The 14,581-nt window shown below is 53.9% G+C and overlaps 1 protein-coding gene across 1 annotated transcript, besides 3 other annotated features; it reads left to right on the plus strand.

Moving 5' to 3' along the window:
* Positions 4,761-5,686: an enhancer, noted in NCBI's record as "H3K4me1 hESC enhancer chr17:42420716-42421641 (GRCh37/hg19 assembly coordinates)". NCBI's record gives its function as "activates a minimal SCP1, AML or CMV promoter by ChIP-STARR-seq in naive H9 embryonic stem cells {active_cell/tissue: H9 hESC(naive)}" and the evidence as "EXISTENCE:reporter gene assay evidence [ECO:0000049][PMID:30033119]".
* GRN (granulin precursor) lies at positions 6,715-14,519 on the plus strand. Its single transcript, NM_002087.4, has 13 exons — positions 6,715-6,747; positions 10,571-10,715; positions 10,839-10,964; positions 11,080-11,164; positions 11,641-11,753; positions 11,855-11,990; positions 12,104-12,213; positions 12,450-12,576; positions 12,776-12,873; positions 12,963-13,208; positions 13,428-13,661; positions 13,754-13,984; positions 14,074-14,519. The coding sequence occupies exons 2-13, from the start codon at positions 10,578-10,580 to the stop codon at positions 14,209-14,211; spliced, it is 1,782 nt and encodes a 593-aa protein (NP_002078.1). The 5' UTR covers positions 6,715-6,747; positions 10,571-10,577; the 3' UTR covers positions 14,212-14,519.
* Positions 6,838-6,987: an enhancer, noted in NCBI's record as "active region_12260". NCBI's record gives its function as "activates an Ori minimal core promoter by ATAC-STARR-seq in GM12878 lymphoblastoid cells {active_cell/tissue: GM12878}" and the evidence as "EXISTENCE:reporter gene assay evidence [ECO:0000049][PMID:35858748]".
* Positions 12,194-12,488: a silencer, noted in NCBI's record as "tiled region #15390; K562 Repressive DNase unmatched - State 12:CtcfO". NCBI's record gives its function as "represses a minimal TATA promoter and a strong SV40 promoter by Sharpr-MPRA in K562 cells {active_cell/tissue: K562}" and the evidence as "EXISTENCE:reporter gene assay evidence [ECO:0000049][PMID:27701403]".

The following is a 14,581-nucleotide window of genomic DNA, read 5'->3' on the forward strand; positions in this document are numbered from 1 at the left end:
GGGCTAGCTTTCTGCAATAGCTTAAAGCTCCCATCCCAAGATCTCTCCAAGAATCCTCTTACCAAGTCCCTGCTCCCAGCCTGGCTCCCTGGTCCCCATCCCTCTCCCCTCTCACACCCTTTCAAAGCCCAGAAAGGACAGGTGACCGAGTGACTGTCTCTGGGCTCATACAGTGGGGTGGTCTCCTGTGACAGGCTAGGGCTTCAGGGTATGGCTTAGCCTATCCCTCACACTTCCTTGGGGCCTCTTGGGGCAGACAGCCCAGGCGGGGCCCAGCAGGCACACTAGTCAGGTGCCTGATGATGAGGGCAGGCGCCTGGAACTGGGTCAACAATCGCTCACACGGAGGTGACTCAAGCAGCAAGGGGAAAAAGAGGTGGGGGTGGGGAGGTGGCTGTTTCTGTGCCCTCACTTGAGCCTCAGCTTTTAGGGTTGCCAGATTTATTTTTATTTTTATTTTTGAGAGTCTCACTCTGTCTCCCAGGCTGGAGTGCAGTGGCGCAATCTTGGCTCACTGCAACCTCTGCCTCCCAGGTTCAAGCAATTCTCGTGCCTCAGCCTCCCAAGTAGCTGGGATTACAGATGTGCACCACCACCCCTGGCTAATTTTTGTATTTTTAGTAGAGATGGGGTTTCACCATGTTGGCCAGTCTGGTTTTGAACTCCTAACCTCAGGTGATCCACCCACCTCAGCCTCCCAAAGTGCTGGGATTATAGGCGTGAGCCACCATTCCTGGCAGCCTGAAAATTTTTTAATTTTTTTTTAATTTTTTTTTTTTTTTAGTGATGGGGTCTCCATATGTTGCCCAGGCTGGTCTCAAACTCCTAGGCTCAAGTGATCCTTTCACCTTGGCCTTGGCCTCCTAAAGTGCTGGGATTACAGGCGTGACCCACTGTGCCTGCCTGCTGGTATGTAACTTGTTGTTTTTTTTTTTTTTTTAGACAAAGTCTCACTTGCCCTGGCTCAAGTGCAGTGGTGCCATCTTGGCTCACTGCAGTCTCCGCCTCCCAGGTTCAAGTGATTCTCCTCCCTCAGCCTCCTGAGTAGCTGGGATTACAGGCATGTGCCACCATGCCCAGCTAATTTTTGTATTTTTAGTAGAGACAGGGTTTCACCATGCTGGCCAGGCTGGTCTTGAACTCCTAACCTTGAGTGATCTACCCACCTCTGCCTCCCAAAGTGCTGGATTACAGGCCAATAGGCCTGGCCCCCTGTAACTTTTTTTTTTTTTTTTAATTTTTGAGACAGAGTCTTGCTCTGTCGCCCAGGCTGGAGTGCAGTGGTGCCATCTCGGCTCACTGCAAGCTCCGCCTCCCTGGTTCACGCCATTCTCCTGCCTCAGCCTCCCGAGTAGCTGGGACTACAGGCGCCTACCACCACGCCTGGCTAATTTTTTGGATTTTTAGTAGAGATGGAGTTTCACCGTGTTAGCCAGGATGGTCTCCATTTCCTGACCTTGTGATCCACCCGCCTCAGCCTCCCAAAGTGCTGGGATTACAGGCGTGAGCCACCACGCCCGGCCCCTGTAACTTCTTAAGCGAAGGAAAATAAAAAAAAAAAAAAAGCAGAAGCCACAAAGGAAAAGATTGACCAATATATTTCAGATGACATAACAACAACACAAAAGACAAATGACAGATTGGGAGGAAGCATCTGAAACATACAAAATACCCAGAATATATAAACAGCTCCTACAGTTCAACAAGAAAGAAAATACTGCAAAAACAATCAGCAAATAATACTGTGATGGTAGAACAATGTATCTACTTGGATGGTGCTCCTGGATTAGATTAACATTTAAATCAGTGAACTTTGGTTAAAGCAAATTGCTCTCCATTGTAGGGAGACCCCCTGAAACTATTGCTACGGAATAAAAGATGAAATGCTCCTGATTATTGTAAATACGAAATTGCATGCAGGATTGTGTAAAGACAATGCCAGGTTGGACTGCCAGTATAAGCCAACAGCTCGTGATGTGCTTCCCCCTGAAGAGAGCCTATGAACAGACGTGCAGTCAGGGAGGTTTCACATCACCAATATTCCTATCCCAGAAAAGCAGATGTTCATAGCCCTGGGAATGGAATGTGACCCTTGTGGAGGGCCTATAAATGGACGCATGAGCGGCACCTGTTCATATGGATAAGATAGGGCTATAAATGCCCTCATCTTGCCATGGCTCTTCTAGGCCTCTTTAAGGTTAAGGCATACTCCCTTCTGATAATTTCTGGTCTAACTGGTTATCTAGCTTCACGTCCTGTTTCTATGGATTGTTTGTAACCAGCTTTTGCTGCAACTCTTACTGCTGATTAATATCTTGCTAATCATAGGTTATGGAAAGACTGTGTTTCTGTTTTAAGGCTCTGTTAGAAATTACTGATGCACACACTATATTGTAAATTCTTATCTCTGTATACTGTACTTCTGCATACAGATGTTATGTTAAAGAATTACTTCATCCCCATGTGACCATCTCACCTCATAATCAAACGACCCTAAATCCCTCACTAACCTACCCTCGCCCTCACTAAACTTAATAATAAATGCTGGTATATCCAGTGCATTGGCAGCATCGCAGGACCAGAAGGCGGTGACCCCCTTGGACCCAGCTTTCACTATCTTGTGTGTGTCTATTATTTCCCGACCTGCCGATCCACCTGGGGACAAAGAGAGAGCCCCATTGCCTTGTGGGCTGCTGGCCAGATCCCGCGATACTCCATAATGTGGATGGACCTGAATAAAACAGAAAGACGGGCCTCGCCGAACTAGAGGGAATTCTCCTGCAGGCTACCCTCAGACTTAACCATCAGCTCTCCTGGGTCGCCAGCCCACCAGCTCACACTAAAGGCTTAGGATGGTTATGATAAGAAAGACAGATGATAACAGAAGTTAACCATGGATGAGGCTAAAGAGAAATTGAAACCCTCATACATCGCTGGTGGGAATGTAAAATAGTGCAGCTGCTTTGGAAAACAGGCTGGTAGTTACACAAAAGGCTAAACAGAATTATTATGTAATCCACTAATTCTACTCCTAGGTATATACCCAAGAGAAATGAAAACATGTCCACACAAAAACTTGTATGGGCCGGGCGTGGTGGCTCACTCCTGTAATCCCAGCCCTTTGGGAGGCTGAAGTGGGAGGATCCCTGGAGTTCAGGAGTTTGAGACTAGCTGACCAACATGGCAAGACCCTGTCTCTACAAAAACCACACAAAAATTAGCTGGACATGGTGATAAGCACCTGTAGTCCCAGCTACTTGGGAGGCGGAGGTGGGAGGATTACTTGAGCCCAGGAGGCAGAGGTTGCAGTGAGCAGAGATGACACCACTGCACTCCAACCTGGGTAACAGAGCAATACCCTGTCTCAAAAAAAAAAAAAAAAATGCTGGGGGGATGATGAAGATAGGCACAGTGGCTCAAGCCTGTAATCTGTAATCTCAGCATTTTGGGAGGCTGAGGCAGCAGGATCACTTGAGGCCAGGAGCTTGAGACCAGACTAGGCAACATATTAAGACAAAAAAATACAAAATATAGCTGGGAGTGGTGGCATGTGTCTGTATTCCCAGCTACTCAGGAGGCTGAGGTGGGAGGGTCTGAGGCTGCAGTACAAGGTGGCACCACTGTAATCCAGCTTGGGCGGCAGAGGAAGGCTCTGTCTCAAAAACAAAGAAACAAACAAAAATGGGCCACGCGTGGTGGCTCACGCCTGTAATCCCAGCAGTCTGGGAGATTGAGGTGGGTGGATCACTTGAGGTCAGGAGTTCGAGACCAGCCTGGTCAACATGGCGGAACCCTGTCTCTACTAAAATACAAAAATTAGCTGGGCATCATGGCACATGCTTGTAATCCCAGCTATCCGGGAGGCTGAGACAGGAGAATTGCTTGAACCCAGGAGGCAGAGGTTGCAGTGAGCCAAGATCGTGCCACTGCACTCCAGCTTGAGTGTTGGAGTGAGACTCTGTCTCAAACAAATGAAAAGAAACAAACAAAAAAGAAATGAGATACTGATACCTGCTATGTGATAAGCTTTGAAAACATTATGCTAAGTGAAAGAAGCCAGTTGCAGATCACATATTATAAAATTTCATTTATATGGAATATCCAAATCTATAGAGGTAGAAAGTAGATCAGTGGTTGCCTAGGGTTAGGGAGGGTGACTGCTAAAGGACATAAGGCTGCCTTCTGTGGTGATAAAAATGGTCTTAAACTGATTGTAATGATGCTGCATAACTCTCTTAAGACACTAAAAACCATTGAGTTGTACACTTTAATTTTTTTGTGTTGGCGGGGGTGGATGGAGTCTCGCTCTGTTGTCCAGGCTGGAATGCAGTGGCACGATCTCGGTTTACTGCAACCTCTGCATCCCGGGTTCAAGCGATTCTCCTGCCTCGGCCTCCTGAGTAGGGAATTACAGACCTCGTTATCGTGGCACCTTACCCTTCTGATGTTAAAAAAAAAAAAAAAAAGAGCGAGAGAGAGAGAGAGAAACATTTGTGAAGTAGGTTGTTGAGTCTCAGCACTATTGACCTTTTGGGCAGGATACTTCTTTGTTGTGGGGGATTGTTCTGTGTGTCGTGTGATGTTTAGTGGGATTGCTGGCCCTTACCTACCAGATGCCAGTGTCCCTCCACCCTGAGTTGTGACAACCCAGATTGTCTCCAGACACTCCTAAATGTCCCTGGCCGGCAAAATTGCCGCTGCTCAAGAATCACGGCTTTGACGATTAGACTTTGTGATATTTGTTTCAGTCTGTTTAGGTTTTTTTTCTTCTACCTGTATTTTTTTCTGGTTCTGGGTGGTTGTAATTAGTAGGTTATTGATCGATTCACCTAACATTTCATGAAAGTTTCATGTGTGTGTGTGTTTCAATAGAAGCATAAACTATACTCCCTAGTCTCAAGATACACAGGAAGGAAAATAAGCACAAATGTGTCACCAGGGCACAGACTAGTACTAGGTCCTCAGCAGGCCAGGTGTCTTATCCGCTGTCTGGGTCTGCTCTAGCTCCAGGCTTAGAACCCCTGCCACACGACTCCACAGCTCGGTTGGCACCCTTTCCCTCCTCCGACTTCTGCTGCCTCGAGCTTGGTTAGCCATCCCCCTGCCCCTGCCTCATCCTCAGCTCCAGTTCCTTGCTCAGGCTGCAGCAGTCTCCATCCCCTGTGCAGACACTGCCGTTCCTCCACGGCCCAGTATCAGGCTTTCCCTGGGCCTCTCCTCTCTCCTGGCCCATCTCCCATCATCCATCTCTGCCTGGCCCAGGCCCTTTGGCACCAAGCAGGCTGACTCTTGTCACTGGCTAATCTGTTCTGTGGTACATTTTCTCTCCTCACCCTCCCATATCAATTCCTCGAAGGCAGGGCCGATCTGGAGACTAGGAAGCCACTTCTCTTTCGACAGCCCCCACCACAGCCCAGCCCGTGCCAGGCACCCAGCAGCTCCTGAAGCCCACTGGCATTGAACATGGCATTCAATCCCTGCCAAGCCTGCCCTTCCCATCTGGTTTCCCAGGGCTCTTCCCAACACCTCCTCCTCCACCTGCCAGTTAAAATCTTCCCAGACTCAGCTCAAGGAGATGCTCCTAAGGTGGAATGAAATCTCTTCTTCCCCACCTGGAGACAATCTACTTCCTCTCCCTACACCTGGCAACTGGCGCACAACCTTGTATCTTAAATTAGATTCAGCCTGAGACTGTCTCCCACCAATCCCTGCTCCCTGTCCTGCTGAGCACCTTGAGGAAAGGGCTTTGGGGCTGTTTATCTTTGTCCTGGAAACCATCCTTCAACTCACTCTGGGGCCTGCCTAGCATGTCAACCGAGTTTGGAGAATAGGGCAGAATAGGGCAGGACAGGACAGGACAAGACAGGGCAGGATAGGATAGGAGCGAGCCAGCTCAGTAGCTCACATTTGTAATCCCAGCGCCTTGGGGGGCTGCGGTAGGAGAATCGCTTTGGGAGCAGGAGTTGCAGGCCGCAGTGAGCTATGATCAGCTTGGGCGACTGAGCGAGACCCTGTCTCTAAAACAAACACACAAGTCCGGGCGCGGTGGCTCATGCCTGTAATCTTAGCACTTTGGGAGGCCGAGGTGGGCGGATCACGAGGTCAAGAAATCGAGACCATCCTGGCCAACATGGTGAAACCCCGTCTCTACTAAAAATACAAAAATTAGCTGGGCGTGGTGGTGCGCGCCTGTAGTCCCAGCTACTCGGGAGGCTGAGGCAGGAGAATCGCTTGAACCCGGGAGGCAGAGGTTGCAGTGAGCCGAGATCGTGCCACTGCACTCCAGCCTGGCGACAGAGTGAGACTCCGTCTCAGAACAAACAAACAAAAGGATAGAAAGGCGAGCACAAATATTCCCAATTCATAACACTCCCTCGCACTGTCAATGCCCCAGACACGCGCTATCATCTCTAGCAAACTCCCCCAGGCGCCTGCAGGATGGGTTAAGGAAGGCGACGAGCACCAGCTGCCCTGCTGAGGCTGTCCCGACGTCACATGATTCTCCAATCACATGATCCCTAGAAATGGGGTGTGGGGCGAGAGGAAGCAGGGAGGAGAGTGATTTGAGTAGAAAAGAAACACAGCATTCCAGGCTGGCCCCACCTCTATATTGATAAGTAGCCAATGGGAGCGGGTAGCCCTGATCCCTGGCCAATGGAAACTGAGGTAGGCGGGTCATCGCGCTGGGGTCTGTAGTCTGAGCGCTACCCGGTTGCTGCTGCCCAAGGACCGCGGAGTCGGACGCAGGTAGGAGAGCGGCCGCGCAGACCTCTCGCCTGCTCCTGCCCAGGGGCCCGCCAGGGCCATGTGAGCTTGAGGTTCCCCTGGAGTCTCAGCCGGAGACAACAGAAGAACCGCTTACTGAAACTCCTTGGGGGTTCTGATACACTAGGGGGAGTTTTATGGGAAAGAGGAAGCAGTAATTGCAGTGACGCCCCGTTAGAAGGGGCTTTCTACCTCCCCAGCATTCCCCCAAAGCAGGGACCACACCATTCTTGACCCAGCTCCACCCCTGTCGGTAGGTGCTGGCTTCTTCCCCTCTCCTGGTGGTGGTGGGTGGTTCCCGCGGCGGCCTGGAGCCGGAGGGGCGCGCGACCCTGGGCTGGGAGCTCCGAGGGCCTGGGAACGAGACCTGAGACCTTGGCTTCTCGAAGGTAGTAGGGACTTGGGAGTGGTGACTGAACCTGGTCTGGCTCCTCCTTACTTCCTCTTGTTGCGGGTGGGACGAGCTAGCTTCCGCCTCTCCCAGCCACTTTTTCCTGCTCATTTGCAGCTAGGTTGGCTCCCCTTTTGGGAATTTCCTCTCCCCTTGGCACTCGGAGTTGGGGGGTGCCACCTAGTGGAAGATAACGGAGCTAGGGTCTTGAAGAGGCTGCTGTCCCCTCTGGCTGTTTTGGCGGTGTAGGGTGGCATGAGAGACTGCGACTCGCCTCCTCATCCCTGTTTCTGTATGCGAGTGCTTGTATTCAGTAGAAGCATACACTATACTCCCTCAATTTAGGGTAAACAGGAGGGGCCACATGCACAGGTAATTCACCAGGGAGCCGAACACTCCTGTGCAGACAGACTCCCCTTCCCAGCAAGCCATGGCAGCGGACAGCCTGCTGAGAACACCCAGGAAGCAGGCGGTGCCAGCTGCAGGTGCTTTGCCTGGGAGCTGTGGGGCTGAGGAGAGGGTCCACTGTCCAGGACCAGTGAACTTCATCCTTATCTGTCCAGGAGGTGGCCTCTTGGGGATGCTGAGTTAGGGGAGGGGCACTTGAGGAAAGCCAGGTGGAGCAGAGAGGATGTGAGTGACTGGGTGGGTGAGATTTCCTGCCCCTCCCCCCGCAGTGGTATCCACACCTAGACTCGTGGGGTAACTGAGGCACAGACAGAGAGCAACTTCTCAGGCCCTCACAGTTGGCAATTCTAGGATTAGGACCCAAGTGCGATTTTCAGGCAGTCCCTGTACCCTGTTTCTGTTGTACCTGTTGCACCATTCCCAGGCACTGCCCATCGTGCCACTAGTGATATGAACCCAGGTCCAATACGCTCTGGGGCCATCAAAGCCTGACGTCACCATGACCTGATGTGTGACGTGTTATAGGTGTCCCTTGGTATCTTCACGGAACTGGTTCCAGGACCCCAAAATCTGTGGGTGCTCAAGCCCCTGAGATAAAATGGTGTAATATTTGCATATAACCTATACATACTTTAAATCATTTCTAGATTACTTATACCTAATACAATGGAAATGACATGTCGGCTGGGCGTGGTGGCTCATGCCTGTAATCCCACCACTTTGGGAGGCCGTGGCAGGTGGATCACCTGAGGTCTGGAGTTTGAGACCAGCCTGACCAACATGGTGAAACCCCCATCTCTACTAAAAATACAAAAATTAGCCAGGTGTGGTAGCGCACACCTATAATCCCACCTACTTGGGAGGCTGAGGCAGGAGAATTGCTTGAACCTGGGAGGCGGAGTTCGCAGTAAGCTGAGATCGCGCCACTGTACTACAGCCTGGGTGACAGAGCAGGACTCCATCTCAAAAAAAAAAGAGAAAAAGAAAAAGAAATGCCATGTAAATAGTTGTGATCCTGAATTGTTTAGGGAATAATAAGAAAGAACTATCTGTAGATGTTCAGTATAGATGCACCCATCGTAAGCCTAACTACATTGTATAACTCAGCAACGATGTAACATTTTCAGGGGTTTTTTTGTTTTGTTTTTTGAGACAGAATCTCAGTCTCACTCTGTCACCCAGGCTGGAGTATGTTGGCGTGATCTCTGCTCACTGCAACCTCCACCTCCTGGGCTCAAGCGATTCTCCTGCCTCAGCCTCTTGAGTAGCTGGGATTGCAGGTGTGCGCTACCACGCATGGCTAATTTTTGTATTTTTAATAGAGATGGGGTTTTACCACGTTGGTCAGGCTGGTCTTGAACTCCTGACCTTGGGATCCGCCCACCTGGGCCTCCCAAAGTGCTGGGATTACAGGCGTTAGCCACCGCGCCCAATATATTTTGATCCCTGGTTGGATATGGAGGGCTGACTGTACTTAACATCTCTAAGCTTCAGTTTCCTCCTTTAAAATAAAGGTGTGGCTGGGTGTGGTGGTTCAAGCCTGTAATCCCAGCACTTAGGGAGGCTGAGGTGGGTGGATCAGCTGAGGTCAGGAGTTCAAGACCAGCCTGACCAATATGGTGAAACCCCCTCTCTGCTAAAAATACAAAAATTAGCCAGGCGTGGTGGCGAGCGCCTGTAGTCCCAGCTACTTGCTTGAACTTGGGAGGCAGAGGTTGCAGTGAGCTGAGATCGTGCCACTGAACTCGAGCATGGGCAACAGAGCAAGACTGTCTCAAAAAAAAAAAAAAAAAGGGGGTGAGCAGACGTGGTGGCACGCTCCCACAGTCCCAGCTACTTAGTAGGAGGCCAAGGTTGGAGGATTGCTTGATCCCAGGAGTCTGAGTCCAGCCTGGGCAACATGGCAATACCTCATCTCTAAAAATAAAATAAAAGTAAAGGTATTAATTACTACTTTGGATGGTTGTTGCAAAGAAATATATATAAAATAATGGAGAGTCTTGTAACTGGCTCCCAAGAGGCTCAACAGACATTACTGTTTTTGCTTCTTCATTATGAGTTACCTCTCTGGCCACCCCACTGAACTAGCTGGGCTAGCTGAGCCTGGGAGAAGAGTTGTTTAGGAAGTGAGAGGCTGCTCTCCACAGAGACTCAAGGCTCAGTTCCTCCTGGTGACTCAGATGGGCAGCCCAGTGGGCACACGTGGTCTCTCTCCACATGTGGCTGAGTTTCACTTCCAGAATAGATGGAGAGGCAAGGGCAGGGTTTAGCATGCTTGAGGAATCTCAGAGGGCCCTGGTGGTGTGGGGGACCCTCAGAACACAGGTGTCTCAAGGGCTGACCCAGCTTCTGTGTCCTTTTCTCTGGGTGAGGAGGGGACATTCATGGGCAGATGGTGACCTCTGGGGAAGGCAGCCCAGACTCCACTGGCCACCATATTTCCTTTTTCACAACTTTCTCACCCCTGTGGTTTCCCATGTCATCATGTGGCCGCTTCCCGCAAGGCCTTAGCGGGGTGCAGGTATGAACATAGTGTCAGGCAAGGAGGCATCTGGAGGGGAACCCTGGCTTTTCCTGGGGGGACTCCCTCCCTGCACCCTAGCCCTGTCCTCTCCCATGGCTACTGATGCCTTCCCCTCACCCCAGAGGTGGCCCACATCTGCACAGATCAGACCCACAAAAATCACGTCTTCCTGACTCTCATAAGCCTGCCCAGTGAGGCCCAGGCATTAGGCCATGTGCTGGGGACTCAGACCCACACATATACGCATGTCAGCATTCATGCTTACAGGTCCGCACATGCTGGGGCAAGTGTCACACACGGGGCGCTGTAGGAAGCTGACTCTCAGCCCCTGCAGATTTCTGCCTGCCTGGACAGGGAGGTGTTGAGAAGGCTCAGGCAGTCCTGGGCCAGGACCTTGGCCTGGGGCTAGGGTACTGAGTGACCCTAGAATCAAGGGTGGCGTGGGCTTAAGCAGTTGCCAGACGTTCCTTGGTACTTTGCAGGCAGACCATGTGGACCCTGGTGAGCTGGGTGGCCTTAACAGCAGGGCTGGTGGCTGGAACGCGGTGCCCAGATGGTCAGTTCTGCCCTGTGGCCTGCTGCCTGGACCCCGGAGGAGCCAGCTACAGCTGCTGCCGTCCCCTTCTGGTGAGTGCCCCTCAGCCTAGGCAAGAGCTGGCAGCCTGGGTTTTCCCAAAGGGTCATCTTGGATTGGCCAGAGGAGGACGCCAGGCACAAGTCTGTGGTTTATCATTTTCCCTGTCTTTCTAGGACAAATGGCCCACAACACTGAGCAGGCATCTGGGTGGCCCCTGCCAGGTTGATGCCCACTGCTCTGCCGGCCACTCCTGCATCTTTACCGTCTCAGGGACTTCCAGTTGCTGCCCCTTCCCAGAGGTGAGCGTGCCATCAGCCCAGTGGAGGGGCTTAGGTCTGCATTTATGCTTTTCCTGCACTCTACCACCTGCAGATAAAAGGGCCCTGCCAATGCAGGTTTCTCTGTGTTCCACAGGCCGTGGCATGCGGGGATGGCCATCACTGCTGCCCACGGGGCTTCCACTGCAGTGCAGACGGGCGATCCTGCTTCCAAAGATCAGGTGCAGCTGGGGTGTGGGTGCAGGGCAGGCAGACGGGCAGCATGTGGAGTCTGGAACCCAGGAGCCCAGCTGGCGGGGGCAGCCCTGATTCCTGCCCTTGTGCCCTCATTCATGTGGCATCTGTACTAAGCAACAGCCCTGCTGTGGACAGAGGGGCAGCACTGGGGATAGGAGGGTGCGGGAGAAAGTGCAAGACTCCAGGTCCAGGCGTTGTGGGGGTGGGGAGAGGTCGAGCTGGGCCGGTCTAATACCAACCCATGGTCAGTGGGTGCCCCTTCCCCATGCCATCTTGCTGAGGGAGGGACTGGATTGTGAGGAGGGTGAGTTAGGCCTGCCTAGGAGATCACTGAGCCTTAGTGTCACCCTCAAACCCCAGTAGCTGGGCTTGCAGGCCCTGGTGCCACCAGCTCCTTGTGTGATGGGGGAGTCACCTTCCCTGAGTGGGCTGGTAGTATCCTGGGTCATCTTGTCCACAGGTAACAACTCCGTGGGTGCCATCCAGTGCCCTGATAGTCAGTTCGAATGCCCGGACTTCTCCACGTGCTGTGTTATGGTCGATGGCTCCTGGGGGTGCTGCCCCATGCCCCAGGTACAAATCTGGGGGAGATGGGGGTATGTGGAGGGAAGTGGGGGCAGAGTTGGGGGCCAGGGGCAGGGGGTGAAGACGGAGTCAGGACCATTTTTTCTCAGGCTTCCTGCTGTGAAGACAGGGTGCACTGCTGTCCGCACGGTGCCTTCTGCGACCTGGTTCACACCCGCTGCATCACACCCACGGGCACCCACCCCCTGGCAAAGAAGCTCCCTGCCCAGAGGACTAACAGGGCAGGTGAGGAGGTGGGAGAGCATCAGGCCAGGGGCTGGGGCGGGGCCTCATTGACTCCAAGTGTAGGAAAAAGTTTCCTCCATCCTGGCTGCCCCTCACGTTTGCTCCTCTTCCAGTGGCCTTGTCCAGCTCGGTCATGTGTCCGGACGCACGGTCCCGGTGCCCTGATGGTTCTACCTGCTGTGAGCTGCCCAGTGGGAAGTATGGCTGCTGCCCAATGCCCAACGTGAGTGAGGGGCTGGAGCCAGCTTGGCTGTGTGCCCCCAGCCACCTGGCCCTGACACGCACCTTACAGGGGCTCTGTGGCATGGGGCTGGCTGGCTGCTTGCTGGGAGCCTGGCTGATGCAGGGTTCATGCTACCCCCTAGTGGGGGATTGGGGCAGTGCCAGCCATCAGCCTGGCTGCTCCCTGTGTGCTACTGAGCCTGGAAGTGACAAAGACCCACCCCTGTCCCCACTCAGGCCACCTGCTGCTCCGATCACCTGCACTGCTGCCCCCAAGACACTGTGTGTGACCTGATCCAGAGTAAGTGCCTCTCCAAGGAGAACGCTACCACGGACCTCCTCACTAAGCTGCCTGCGCACACAGGTACCAGAGGCAGGGTGCAGATACAGGGGTGGGGCCCCCTTTCCTCCCTTTTAGGCCTGGCCTTAGGATCACTGCAAGGTGGTGTAAGCGGTACCCTCCATCTTCAACACCTGGTTCCAGCTGTGGAGCCGGCAAAGGGTTGATACCCCTGAGGGTCCCCAGTGCCACTTCTGACCTGTCCTCTCTGCTTCCCTCACAGTGGGGGATGTGAAATGTGACATGGAGGTGAGCTGCCCAGATGGCTATACCTGCTGCCGTCTACAGTCGGGGGCCTGGGGCTGCTGCCCTTTTACCCAGGTACCCAGGGGTGGCGGGTGGGTGGGCTGAGCACAGTGTGGCAGGCAGCCGGGCCCCAGTGCCCACCTGCCCTTCTTCATCTGCCCTAGGCTGTGTGCTGTGAGGACCACATACACTGCTGTCCCGCGGGGTTTACGTGTGACACGCAGAAGGGTACCTGTGAACAGGGGCCCCACCAGGTGCCCTGGATGGAGAAGGCCCCAGCTCACCTCAGCCTGCCAGACCCACAAGCCTTGAAGAGAGATGTCCCCTGTGATAATGTCAGCAGCTGTCCCTCCTCCGATACCTGCTGCCAACTCACGTCTGGGGAGTGGGGCTGCTGTCCAATCCCAGAGGTATATGGGAGGGGACAGCATCTTGGCCTGGGCAGGTGGGTGGCCAAGCTCCTATTGCTTTCTGCCCTCCGCATAGCCCATAGGTGATACCCAGCTCTGACAGATTCGTCCCCAGCTGGAGGTGCTGTAAGCAGGAGAGGCGGGCTGGAGTAGGTAGGGGCTCGGCACTGCGCCCCACATAGTGGCTACCTACAACGCCCTTTCCTGCCCACCCCCCAGGCTGTCTGCTGCTCGGACCACCAGCACTGCTGCCCCCAGGGCTACACGTGTGTAGCTGAGGGGCAGTGTCAGCGAGGAAGCGAGATCGTGGCTGGACTGGAGAAGATGCCTGCCCGCCGGGCTTCCTTATCCCACCCCAGAGACATCGGCTGTGACCAGCACACCAGCTGCCCGGTGGGGCAGACCTGCTGCCCGAGCCTGGGTGGGAGCTGGGCCTGCTGCCAGTTGCCCCATGTGAGTGCCTCCCTGCCTGCCCCTGGATAGGGGAGCTAAGCCCAGTGAGGGGACAGGAACATAATGCCATTCTGTGCTCCCTTCCCCGCCAGGCTGTGTGCTGCGAGGATCGCCAGCACTGCTGCCCGGCTGGCTACACCTGCAACGTGAAGGCTCGATCCTGCGAGAAGGAAGTGGTCTCTGCCCAGCCTGCCACCTTCCTGGCCCGTAGCCCTCACGTGGGTGTGAAGGACGTGGAGTGTGGGGAAGGACACTTCTGCCATGATAACCAGACCTGCTGCCGAGACAACCGACAGGGCTGGGCCTGCTGTCCCTACCGCCAGGTCAGTGCCAACCCCCATCCTGGGGCTGGGTATGGCCAGGGACCAGGTCCCACCTCGTCCAACCCTCTCGCCCCCCTCTGACCATCCAGGGCGTCTGTTGTGCTGATCGGCGCCACTGCTGTCCTGCTGGCTTCCGCTGCGCAGCCAGGGGTACCAAGTGTTTGCGCAGGGAGGCCCCGCGCTGGGACGCCCCTTTGAGGGACCCAGCCTTGAGACAGCTGCTGTGAGGGACAGTACTGAAGACTCTGCAGCCCTCGGGACCCCACTCGGAGGGTGCCCTCTGCTCAGGCCTCCCTAGCACCTCCCCCTAACCAAATTCTCCCTGGACCCCATTCTGAGCTCCCCATCACCATGGGAGGTGGGGCCTCAATCTAAGGCCTTCCCTGTCAGAAGGGGGTTGTGGCAAAAGCCACATTACAAGCTGCCATCCCCTCCCCGTTTCAGTGGACCCTGTGGCCAGGTGCTTTTCCCTATCCACAGGGGTGTTTGTGTGTGTGCGCGTGTGCGTTTCAATAAAGTTTGTACACTTTCTTAACAGTGTCTGATTTGCCGCCCTGCCTGCCCTCCCCAGGGCCCCAGAACAGGGGTTCACGTCCA

The sequence above is a fragment of the Homo sapiens genome, chromosome 17 (assembly GCF_000001405.40).
Source record: "Homo sapiens chromosome 17, GRCh38.p14 Primary Assembly".
In the NCBI taxonomy this organism is placed as follows: domain Eukaryota; kingdom Metazoa; phylum Chordata; class Mammalia; order Primates; family Hominidae; genus Homo; species Homo sapiens.